The sequence below is a fragment of the Homo sapiens genome, chromosome 1, assembly GCF_000001405.40.
Source record: "Homo sapiens chromosome 1, GRCh38.p14 Primary Assembly".
NCBI classification, from domain to species: domain Eukaryota; kingdom Metazoa; phylum Chordata; class Mammalia; order Primates; family Hominidae; genus Homo; species Homo sapiens.
This window is the reverse complement of record NC_000001.11, coordinates 92,079,614-92,092,196: the sequence shown is the minus strand read 5'-3', so window position 1 is coordinate 92,092,196 and position 12,583 is coordinate 92,079,614. Positions and strand designations below refer to the sequence as shown.

The 12,583-nt window shown below is 42.0% G+C and overlaps 1 protein-coding gene across 5 annotated transcripts in view, besides 1 other annotated feature; it reads right to left on the bottom strand.

Moving 5' to 3' along the window:
- The window catches only part of BTBD8 (BTB domain containing 8), a 104,379-nt gene extending 92,527 nt beyond the window's left edge, over positions 1-11,852 (bottom strand). For 3 of the 5 annotated variants that reach the window (XM_047418461.1, NM_001376131.1, XM_047418474.1), the window contains exons 1-2: positions 11,477-11,852; positions 3,302-3,499 (exon numbers count right to left, since the gene is read on the bottom strand). In XM_047418461.1, the coding sequence (XP_047274417.1) occupies positions 3,302-3,499; positions 11,477-11,625 (347 nt within the window). In that variant the 5' untranslated portion in view covers positions 11,626-11,852. The remainder of the gene's footprint in view (positions 1-3,301; positions 3,500-11,476) is intronic. The other 2 variants (XM_047418464.1, XM_047418466.1) reach the window with 1 other exon arrangement.
- Positions 9,912-10,579: an enhancer, noted in NCBI's record as "H3K4me1 hESC enhancer chr1:92547175-92547842 (GRCh37/hg19 assembly coordinates)". NCBI's record gives its function as "activates a minimal SCP1, AML or CMV promoter by ChIP-STARR-seq in primed H9 embryonic stem cells {active_cell/tissue: H9 hESC(primed)}" and the evidence as "EXISTENCE:reporter gene assay evidence [ECO:0000049][PMID:30033119]".
- Positions 11,853-12,583: the final 731 nt, after the last annotated feature.

Genomic DNA, 12,583 nt, shown 5'->3' with positions numbered 1-12,583 from the left:
ACCCCTGGACTCAAGCGATCCACCTGCCTCAGCCCCCCAAAGTGCTGGGACTACAGGTATGAGTCACTGTACCCGCCCTAAGTCTTCTTATACAGGCACTAATCCTTATGAAGACCCCACCCTCATGAACTCATTTCAACCTAACTCCTGAAGGCCCAGTCTCCACCTACTATCACACTGAGGGTTAAGGCTTCAACATATAAATTTTGGGTGGAGACAATTGCAGTCCACAGCAATGGGCAACTGATTTTCAGTAAGAGTGTCCAGACAATCCGAGGAAAAGAAGGGAGAGGAGGAGGAAAAATTGGTGCTGTGACAACTGCATATCTGCATACAAAAGAATGAAGCTAGATCCCTTCCTTACGCAATACATGGCAATTAACTCAAAATGGATCAAAGACCTATAAATGTAAGAGTTAAAAATATAAAAACATTAAATTCTTAGAAAAAAACATAGGAGTAACCTGGGCATAGTGGCACATGCCTGTAATCTCTGCTACTCGGGAGACTCACTTGAGCCCAGGAGTTAAGAGACCAGCCTAGGAGGCTGAGGCAGGAGAATGGCGACCGGGAGGCGGAGCTTGCAGTGAGCCGAGATTGCGCCACTGCACTCCACCCTGGGCGACAGAGCGAGACTCCGTCTAAAAATAAAAAAAAAAAGAGAGACCAGCCTACGAAACACAGCAAAACCCTGTCTCAAAAAAATATATACATACACACACACATACACATACACACACACACACGAGTGTATTAGTCCGTTCTCACACTGCCATCAAGAACTACCTGAGACAGCGTAATTTATAATGAAAAGAGGTTTAATTGACTCCCAGTTCCCCAGGCTGTACAGGAAGGCATGGAAGCATAGCTGGGGAGGCCTCATGAAACTTAACAATCAAGGCAGAAGGCGAAGAAGAAAGCAGCATGTCTTACATGGCCGGAGGAGGAGGAAGAGCTCTAGAGAACAAGGAGGAGGTGCTACACACTTGTAAACAACCAGATCTCCTGAGAACTCACTATCATGAGAACAGCCAGGGGGAAATCCACCCCCATGATCCAATCACCTCCCACTAGGCCCCTCCTCCAACACTGGGGATCACAATTTGACAAGAGATTTGGGTGGAGACACAAATCCAAACCATATTAATGAGTAAATCTTCAAAACCCTAGATTAGGCCAATGGTTTCTTAGCCATCACACCAGAAGCACAGTGACAAAAGAAAAATTACATAAGCTAGACTACATAATAAAAAATTTTTTTTTTTGAGATGGAGTCTTGCTCCGTCATCCAAGCTGGAGTGCAGTGGCACAATCTCAGCTCACTGCAACCTCCACCTTCTGGGTTCGGGTGATTCTCCTGCCTCAGCTTCCCAGGTAGCTGGGATTACAGGCATGCGCCACCATGCCCGGCTAATTTTTTCGTGTTTTTAATGGAGACAGGGTTGCAGCACGTTGGCCAGGCTGGTCTCAAACTCCTGATCTCAGGTGATCTGCCCACCTCGGCCTCCTAAAGTGCTGGGATCACAGGTGTGAGCCATCGCACCTGGCCTGACTACATAAGAATTTAAAACTTTTGTGTCATAAATGATACCATCGTGAAAGTGAAAAGACAACCCAGAGAATGGGAGAAAATATTTATAAATCATATTTGTGATAAGAGTCTAATATTACAGAATATATAAAGAACACTTAGAAGTCAATAATATAAAGACAGCCCAATTTCAAAATGGGCAAAGGATGTAGATAGTTCTCCAAAGATATAAAAATGGCAAATAAGCACACAACAATATGCTCAACATCGTTAGTCATCAGGGAAATACAAATGAAAACTATAATGAGATACTAGTTCACATCCACAAGGAGGGTAATAATAAAAAAATACAGAAGATAACAACAAATGTGCCGAGGATGTGGAGAAACTGAAGCCCTTGTACATTGCTAGTGGGAATGTAAAATATTATAGCCAGTTTGGAAAACAGTTCAGCAGTTTCTCAAAAGGTTAAACATAGTTACCATATATATAATCCAGCAATCCCACTCCTAGGTATATACTCAAGAAAAATAACACAGGTTCACAGAAAAATTTGTATATACGTATTATAGCAGCATTATTCATCATAGCCAAAAAGTATTAATAGAAACAATTTAAATGGCAACGAATGGATTAACAAAATATGGAATAGCCATACAATGAAATAATATGCAACAACAGAAAGAAATAAAGTACAGAATGAAGATTAATTTAAACTAGTTTCTCCCATTATTTAGCTGATGACAATTCTGAGTTCAAACATGAGTCCCCAAAATTACTAAAAAGTCAAATTGATGTTCTGTTCTCAAAAAACAATTTGACCAAATACAAGTTACTATGGTCTGAATGTTTGTGTCCCCCCAACCCCAAAATTCATATGATGAAACTTAATCCCCAATGTGGTGGTATGAAGAGGTGGGACATTTGAGAGATGATTAGGTCATGAGGGCTCCATCCTCATGAATGAGATTAGTGCTCTTATAAAAAAGACCCAAGAAAGTTTGTTTATCTCTTTTGCCATGTGAGGGCACAGAGAAGACGCTATCTTCAAGGAACTAACCCTCACCAGGCACTGAATCTGCTGGCACCTTGATCTTGGACTTCCCAGGCTCCCGAACTGTGATCAATACATTTCTATTGTTCACCAATTACCCAGTCTAAGGTATTTTGTTATAGCAGCCCAAATGGACTAAGACATAAGCCATGAGAATAAAAACAGTTATGACGTTATATTTTTATAAATATACATACTTTAAAGTTTCACATGCCAACAATACAGAGTGAGTACGTAGCAACGGTTCTCAAGAGGGGGCAATTAGGACCTCCAGAGGACATCTGGCAATGTCTGGAGACATTTCGGTCACAACTAAACATCCTAAAATGCACAGCATTGTCCCCACAACAAATAATTATACAACCTGAAATGCCAGTAGTGCCACTACTGAGAAACCCTGGAATAGAATAATTCATTTAAATTACTGGAGAGCACACCATTTCCCTTTTCTCAGGATCAGTCTTAGGTTAATGCTTAGCCTCTACCAGTACTAAGCTAATATTGTACTACCAGTACTAAGCTAATATTAGTACTACTAGTACTAATATTAACACTTAGCCTCTGTCAACACTAATTACTAAGATAATTTGGAATTTAAGTGAATGGATTTTTCTTATCAGGTTACAAAATACATATGAAAATATATTAAATAAAAACATACATGTTAAAAATAAGCAATTACATATTAGACTTACATGGATAAAGAAAGCACTTACTGTAAAAACGTTCTAAATTCTAAAGCTTCAACATTCTCCACAGCAATAGGCTCCTGATTTGTTAAACTATTTGATGTCTGTCCAATAGTATGAAAATAGAAGTCAGGAACTCTTGCTAAAAGGACTGCTTTGTGTGCTTTGAACAAAGTACAACCCACAGAGAAGGTAACATCTGTATGGAATTCTTCCCTTAGAAGCCTATAAGGAATAAAAAGGAATCATAGTTTAATTAGTGATACTAAAAAACGTATACATATTTTTATAAAGTAGGTTTAAAATAACACATAAGCTAAAAAATACAGAGGCAACATAAAGTTAATACAAAAATGAGTTTGTTCTCAGTTCATTCCAAAAAACATTGTTTAACATTGGCTTAGAGCCTAATTTTCTAAAATTCATAGTGAAAACAAAGACAATTTCACTAAAAGAGTAAGACTACTGTTTCAAAATATTTACTTATGAATTCCTTCTGATAATAAAAAAATATTTTCTGCTACTTATGTTGATTTTCCTTTAGATATACTATCTTCTTTAGATTTATTTTTAAAATGCAAAGTTGACATGATCATTAATTATTTAAAATAATCAATTTTTTAAAATCTTACTTAAATTGAAGCAAAAAAAAAGTTAATAGTTAATGACAGCAACAAACCACACATATCAGTAGAAAATTCAGGTTAGAAACTGGTACTTAGTTCTGGCTAATGTTAATTAACAAGTCTGAAATCCAGGTGTGGCTGTCAAAAATGTGACATTTACTCTCTTTTCCAGTCTCCCACTCCCACAAATAGAATTATGCTCTAATCTATCATTAAAATGATGGATTCGTGATCCTTTCAAATCCCTTTGCTAATGTACAGATATAGTTCTTGTAAAGCCCACTGATTACATGTATACGTGAGTGATAGAAGAATAGAAATCAACATAATAGAAAATGTCATAATATAATCTTTTGCCTCTTTGCAGTAACTATTTTACTCTCTAAATATTAAATAAAACTTCATATCACTATAGCAATATCATCAGCAAGGTATGCATTCTCAGAGGACTTCTGTATTACAGGATATATAAAACTGGCAATAATACCAGTACACTACAGGAGGTACAAGTAACTGATAAAGATACCCATTACAGTGAAAGCTTGGAAAGCAGCCAATGACATTCATACTCCCCCAGGACCAAGTTAATGGCTCCTTCCTCTAATCCCATCACATTCAGTACATACCTCTATTATAGCATTTCTGTCATTGCATCATTATTATTTTTACATGTCTTTCTCCCCACTAGACAATGAACTCCCCACGGACAAAAACTGTATCTTCAGTATACAGCAAGAGTTCAGTATCTTCTTATTAAATGATCCTATTTTACCCTAGACAAAACAAATGCTTCAGAGCATAAAAGCTTTCAGAACCTTGAAAATAATGGCCAAATAGATGCATCTTAGTTTGGTCAATATTTTCAATAAATTATTTTCATAAGTAATTTTTAAAGTTACACAAAAATGTGTTGGACTCTCAAACTTTAATTGAAATAGAAACTCTACAAACACTCAATTTGTTCTTTCCTCCCACCCTCCTTCCCCCCATCCCACCCCTCAAGTGAATAAGGAAGCACTGCAGCTGGTAGCCATACAACCATCAGGAGGGAACCCACCTTGTTGCTAACAGATGCTCATGAGTACTTGCTAAATGGAAAAAAAAAAGTGTGTATAAAATTGTTAATGTGAAAATACAGTGTTTTTTATTTGATAGAACCATTTTTATCAGTTTCAAGTATATTTTGTTATGTTACAAATCTGAAAATCTGACTTAGACTGGCTTAAACATTAAGGAGTTTATTGGCCCATCGAATAGTAAAGTCCAGAGGAAGGACAGACTGGAGAAGTCTCAATGATGCCAAGGCCCAGCTTCTTTCCATCTCATATCTTTGCCCACTACTGTATTCACCTATCTTAGTCCATTTGTGCTGCTATAACAGAATACCACAGGATAGGTAATTTATAATGAACAGACATTTATTGGTTCACAGTTCCAGAGGCAGGGAAGTCCAACATCAAGGTGCTGGCATCTGCAAGGGCCTTCTTGCTAAGTCATCACATGTAGAAGGATAGAGGATAAAAGGGAGCAAGAAGGAGCCAAACTCATCCTTTTATAACACTACCACTCGCACCCATGAGGGTGGAGCCCTCTTGGCTTAATCATTTCTTAAGGGTCATACCTCTTAATACTGCTACAATGGCAATCAAATTTCCTTTTTTTTTTTGAGACAGAGTCTTGCCCTGTTGCCCAGGCTGGAGTGCAATGGTACCATCTCAGCTCACTGCAACCACCACCTCCCAAGCTCAAGGGATCCTCCCACCGCAGCCTCCCAAGTAGCTGGGACCACAGGCATGCATCACCACACCCAGATAATTTTTGTATCTTTTGTAGAGACAGGATTTTGCCATGTTCCCCTGGCTGGTCTCAAACTCCTGAGTGTTGGGGAAAAGCTGAGTGTTGGGAAAAACGCTGAGGCAGGGCTTGCACGTCTGACATAATGTAAAAGATTTTGGAACATGTCTGCGGTCCAGGGTCTAAAACCCCTTGTGGCCTTTGGAACACCAAGCTCTGTGCCAAAGGGTGGAAGGCTGCCCTGCCGCACCACAATATAAGCCCAGGGCATTAAACCCCTAGTGGCTTGGATGGAATCCGGGGCTCAGGGCATAAAACCCCTTGTGGTCTCTGGCTCCTTGCTTCTAGCACTCCCAGGCTCATAGATCAATTGTATCTTAAACCAGAAGAACATGTTTCCCACTATCTCAAATAGCAGAACATGTTCCATATGCTTCAAAGAAAATGCTAAACCATCACAGCTGTAGATCATGCGCTTGATACACCACTTTCTTTCAACCCCTACATCCTCACTACCTGCTTCTTTGATCACCAATAAACAGCGTGGGCTTCCAGAGCTCAGGGCCTTCACAGCCTCCATACTAGCATTGGCCCCCTGGTCCCACTTTATGTCGTCTCATTCCTTTGACTCTGCCGAACTTTGTAGCCCCAAAGGCCTGGTGTTGGGTCTGATCACCCCAACACTGAGCTCAAGCAATCCATCCCCCTCAGCCTTCCAAAGTGCTGGGATTACAGGAATAAGCCACCTGCCTAGCCTGTAAATTATTATTATTTAGACGGAGTCTCACTCTGTCACCCAGGCTGGAGTGCAGTTGCGTGATCTTGGCTCACTGCAACCTCTACCTCCTGGGTTCAAGCAATTCTCCTGCCTCAGCCTCCTGAGTAGCTGGGAGTACAGGTGTGCACCTCTACCTCCTAGGTTCAAGCGATTCTCCTGCCTCGGCCTCCTGAGTAGCTGGGAGTACAGGTGTGCACCTCTACCTCCTAGGTTCAAGCGATTCTCCTGCCTCAGCCTCCTGAGTAACTGGGAGTACAGGTGCGCACCACCATGCCAGGCTAGTTTTTGTATTTTTAGTAGAGATGGGGTTTCACTATGTTGGCCAGGCTGGTCTCAAACTCCTGACCTCAAGTGATCTGCTCGCCTTGGCCTCCCAAAGTGCTGGGATTACAGGCATAAGCCACCGTGCCCAGCCAGGCCTGTAAAATTCAACATGAGTTTTGAGAGGACAAACATTCAAACCATAGCATAACTTATCTAAAGCAATTTACACTGCCGATAAAACTCAGCACTAAACATTTATTGAGCACATACTATGTACTAAGCACTGGGAACATAAAGATGACTAAAACATAATACCTATCCTCAGGGAGTTTATAGTATAGTAGGGAAGCCAGGTCTGAAAATTAAAGTGTGTGATATATTTAATAGCATAAGTAAATTTTGTTCAGGGACAGACAAAAGAGGAGACCTCACAGAGGGCATGAAAACCCAATGGGATTTTAAAGACTGAGTAAGAGCTGGTTAGGGAACTAAGGCAAGGTAAGTAAGTGCCTGGCTCCATGTTCCTTACAAAGATATGTGTGAGTGTGGAACTATATGTTGGTCAGCACAGAGTACTGAGAGGGTGCGAAGTGGCAGATGAAGCTGCAGAGATAAAGATGAATAAGAGGCAAAGAGCTTAACTGTACCCTACAGTGAAAGAGGAGTCATAAAATTGTGTGTGCTGAACCTCTATTAACCTCAGTAGGGAAGGCACCAGGCTCCAGAGGCTGAAGAGACCCAGAGCCAGCAAACAAGATATGGGCTTTTATTAGGGGCTTACATACAGGGGAGAGAGTCCAGTGGTGGCAGGCTGGACAAGATATCCACCTTACCTACAGTCCAGTGGTGGTGGACTGAGCAGGAAAACTGCAAACCCTTGCAAACAGCATGGAAGTTTATACAGCATTTTCACTTAACCCCCTTCCTTTAATGTCCTCCACCTGGCAACCTTCATACAACCCTAACCCAGGGCTTCAATCCCCTTTACAGCCTGTGTTCCACAGTATGGGCCCAGGAGCTCAGATGTTCCTCACAGACAAGGAACGAATCTCTGGGATGGCGACTCCCAGATTCCCTAGCTCGCAACACACGCAGGTACATCCACCATACAGGGTCATTTTAAGTGTATGCCTACATTATTGCTATCAGGTGTGTTTGCCCTGCAAATGGTTTGAAACAATGGCAAATTTATTTTTCAAAATATATAAATTTGTGTAGAAGAGGAGTTAGATGAAAATGAGAATGAAGATGAGAAAACTACCGCACAGATGAATGAAGCCAGGAGAGGATCAATGGTGATAAAGATGGGATAAAATTAAAATATATTTACGTAATAAAATTGGCACGAGTTGGTAAAATTGGCAGGGAAGGAATAACTTGGCTCTTTCTCATATTTGGATAACTAGGTGCTAGTGATACTACCAATCTGCTAGTCAAACTCCCCTCCTCTACTCCAGACATATTTCCAGTTGTTTCCTGGATATAGCTTGCTGGACATTCATTATACACCTCCCTTTCAGGCAAGATCAGGCTTGTTCAGGGTGGTATGGTAGTAGCCTACATGTTTCCCTTTCAAATGTCCTAAGATTTGGGGCCATTTTCAATGCTTCCTTTTCCCTGTTCCCCAGCATGTCATCAGTCACCAAGCCTATCAATTGTTCCATTTCCACTGCCATTATGTATCCCTGGACTATAAAATCTCCCAGCTGGTCTCCTTGTTTCCAATTTTCCTTTCCTTAAATTCCAGATTCAAAATGTGTTAATTCCCTATTTTAAAAACACCGATGGTTCTCCACTCCTTCTAGATACATCACAAACATTTCACTGGAGAAAGAAAGCCCCTGTGATCCAGTCTTAGTCTACCCATTCACCCTTACCTACTGTCACTTTGATTGCCTGCCATGCAATCTCCTTCCGAATAAAGCTACCAAATTTATTTATTACTTATATGTGGCCCTGGTTTGTACCACATGCCCCTACATCCTAATCACATCTGAATGGACAATGGGCTAAACCAAGGTTAGCCACTGGCCAATGCAGTAATCAAGCAGGAGAACTTGAGCAAAGATGTTCTATAATAAACATGAACCAACTGATGGCACTGAAGAGCATTCTTAAGCAAATCTATGGTAGAAAAAGAAATGGGTAAGGAGAGAAGAGGAGATGAAGGTACAAAGTTAACTGGAAGATCAGTTTACTGTAGAGGAGGCAGACTGCTTGGGTTCATATTCTGGTTATGTGACCCTGGGCAAGTCATTTGAAAGTCTCTGGAGCCAGATTGCCAAGGTTCTTATTCTGACTCCACCACTTTTTTTTTTTTTTTTTGAGACAGAGTCTTGTTCTGACGCCCAGACTGGAGGGCAGTGGCTTGATCTCAGCTCACTGCAATCTCCACCTCCCCGGTTCAAACAATTCTCCTGCCTCAGCCTCCCAAGTAGCTGGGACTATAGGTGCCACCATCATTTCTTTTTTAACATTCAGTTTCCTCTTGTGTTAAATGAGAATAACAAGACTTACCTCACAGGATTCATGAGAGAAGTAAGTAAAACATTTCATGTAAGCCCAGTGTATAGCAAATAGTAGGATGGCAATAAGTATTAGTGTTTTTTTTTTACCACTGCCCTGAATAACAGTCCATTTGTCAATGTGGTCTTATTGTATGACTGTTACCATATCCCAAACAACTTTCCAGTTCTACATTGGAGCTGGCTTTTTGACAGCTAAAACTGTCTCCCACTTTTCCTCACTTCTCTACATATCTTGTCACGTCAGGTAACCTAGGAGTGTCTCTGTTCCTTACTATTTGGCAGAGTCTAATACGACTTGCTTTCTCAAAATCAATCAAGCTCTTTCAAATTTCTGTGCTTCCATAAAAGTTATTCCCCTTGTTTAGATATCCTCTACCTCTCCCTTCCCAATCTTTACCTAATCAATTCTTAACCAATCCCTAAGAGCTCACTCAAATGTCACCCTATAAAGTCTTCCCAACTCACCCCACCACAACTATCACTTTTATTTAGCCATTTCCTCTCTCACTAGAGTGTAAGGACAAACAACAAAGCAATGTTTTATTAACGTTTATTACTTAAGACCTAGTACCGGGCTAGGTACGTGGTCAGTGCTAGATACTTCATTAGTATTTGTAGAATAAATAAATGACATTGCTATGCTTGGAGAAAATTAATTTAGTATAGCATTTAAGGTGGTTGGGTGAGCATTTTGTTTTGTTTTGTTTTAAAAAAAAACCTTGCTACATCTATTTTTCTTTGTTTATAATAAGAATTTGAGAGTTCTGAGTCCTACCCTCAGTTGTAACTAAGATAAGGATAAATTGTTCACTAGCAATACTTTAACCTCATTTTCTTCATATAAATTAGATGTGTTACCCTAGAAACGTTAACAACTTTAGTATTATTTTTTCCATCTTTTTCATCAGTCCCTCCCTGGTAGAGACAAAGTAGCTTCCCCAGTAGATAGTCCCAAATTAAAGGGATTTTTTTTTTACTTTGATAAATTCTGTTTATAGCTATCGGAGCCTTAAGTATGGGTGAGTTTTTGACAGAAAGCACTTCAAAATGTAGAATCCTGGCTGGGCGCAGTGGCTCACGCCTGTAATCCCAGCATTTTGGGAGGCCGAGGCGGGCGGATCACTTGTGGTCACGAGTTCGTGACTAGCCTGGCCAACATGATGAAATCCCGTCTCTACTAAAAATACAAAAATTAGCCGGGCGTGGTGGCGCGTGCCTGTAATCCCAGCTACTCGGGAGGTTGAGGCAGGAGAATGGCTTGAACCCGGGAGGTGGAGGTTGCAGTGAGCCGAGATCGCGCCACGGCGCTCCAGCCTGGGCGACAGAGCGAGACTCCGTCTCCAAAAAAAAAAAAGTAGAATGCTGCACAACTTTTAATTATTAGTAATTATGTTTACCTCAGTGGTTCTCATAGTCACCCTAGCCAGCAGCATTAGCATCACTTGGGGCCTTGTTAGAAATGGAAAATTTCAGTGATGCCCACCCAAGTTTAAGAATCAATGTCTTGCTGGAAATGTAAATTAGCTAGGTCATATTTCTAAGCTTCAATTTCTTTGTAAGCTGAAATTACTTTAGCTGGATTCCCAATAACCCGAGAAGGATATCCATGAGGCTTACAAAGGTTAAATGTCAGGAAGACCCTCCATTTGCTTTGGTCCTCACAGGAGCTGAGAGTTGCTGGGAGCTACAGAGAGCTCTAGGTGGAGAGAGGAATCCAGGTCGCAATCAGGAAGCATTTCTGGTAAATTGTTTAAAGAGACCTCAGAAGAGACCTCCAAGACTATAGTATTGTTCTTTCCTCATTTCAAATAATCGTTTTCCTAATTTTATTATTTTTCTTAAAATAGTATAAGCTTATTTTAAAAATTGTGTAAGTTTCAGGACCTGGATCCACCCGACCTTAGTGATTGGAAACAACTAAGCGTGCCTGTGTTGAGATATTTCTAGCAAACTAGTGCTGCACACGACTAAGCTTTTTTTGTTTTCCTTTTGAATCTGGTACATGGTGTCGAGGTGCTCGGGATTGTTTATTCAGGGCGAGCGAAGCCACTTTTCGGAATAGTGGGGAGACTGGCTAACGACCCGCAGTCGCCTGAGGCGAGGAGAACCAAGTGCTGAGGGAGGGGGAGGCAGAGCCGAAAGAAGCCTCAGCTTCGGGGCGGAGGTGGGCGATTTAGGAACTGAAGCAGCCAGAGTTCCCGCCTCCTCCTACCTGAGCAAATCCTGGCTGAGCTGCTCCGACACCGTCGCCTTCAGCCGGCGCCGCTCACACGGCCCCTTCCTTTGCAACCCCTTACTGCAAACTCCAGCGGACCCCAGAAGTACCATGGGGGCCGCACTGCCTTCCCCACAGCGAGCCATGTCTCACAGAGGTACGACGCCCTGGAGGCCCAGTACTTGGCCTCACTTGCCCCGCCCAGGAGGAAGAAGGGGGCGTTTCCGACCGAACGCTCGGCTCCTACCCAAATCCGCCCCCTAGGGTAAAAGGTTGACGCCTCTCGTCGGTTTGTAGACAGTCTCCCAGAGAAGCCGGACCGCGGTGGGGAGCCTCAGAATCCCAGAACCGAGCCGGCTCTTGACCCAGGAAGAGCGTGCGCAGGCGTACTCGCTCTGTTTACTTCTGCCGGCGGGCACCCCGCCTCCCATGGCTCAGGCGCGGACCATCCCGCGGGGCAAACCAATCCTCAGGCTCCTTATCCCCTCCCCTCTTCTTTCCCTTCCGGTTGGTGTTCATTCATTTCAATGTTTTACTGAGGCTCGAGTTCAAATCAGCACATGCAGCCTTTCTATGCTGTGTCTTCCTGACAGGTCTACACTTTTTTCCAACGAAAGACTGGGCGAGTCACACCCCCTCACTTACCTGGCTTCTTAACCCTGAGGTATAAATGTTTGGGGCAAGAAAAATTGGCGATGGGAGGAGTAGGGGAAGAACTTCATAAACTGCCAGTCAGAACAATTCTGAGTTCAATATAAGAGATACTTACAGCATCTAGAAGGCCCCATCCCCTTCTTATCCAAGGAGTGGCTCATACAAGCTTTTGGACTTGATCGGAGAAAGCACAGGGCTTTGCATATAAAGCCCTAACATTTATGACCAAGAAGGGAGAAATAGGTAAGGGGCAAAGTCTTTGAGCAGTGAAGTGATGGATGGATGAAATATAGAATTCTCTTTTGTCCCAAATAAAGTAGCAAACTGATTATCATTTAAGGTTTTGGTATTTTTTATTTGATTACTGCCTCCAAAATAAGGAAACTCAGTAGTTCCGCTTCGGGCCGGGCAAGTCCCATCTACTTGGGAAGCGAGGCGGAATGATGGCTT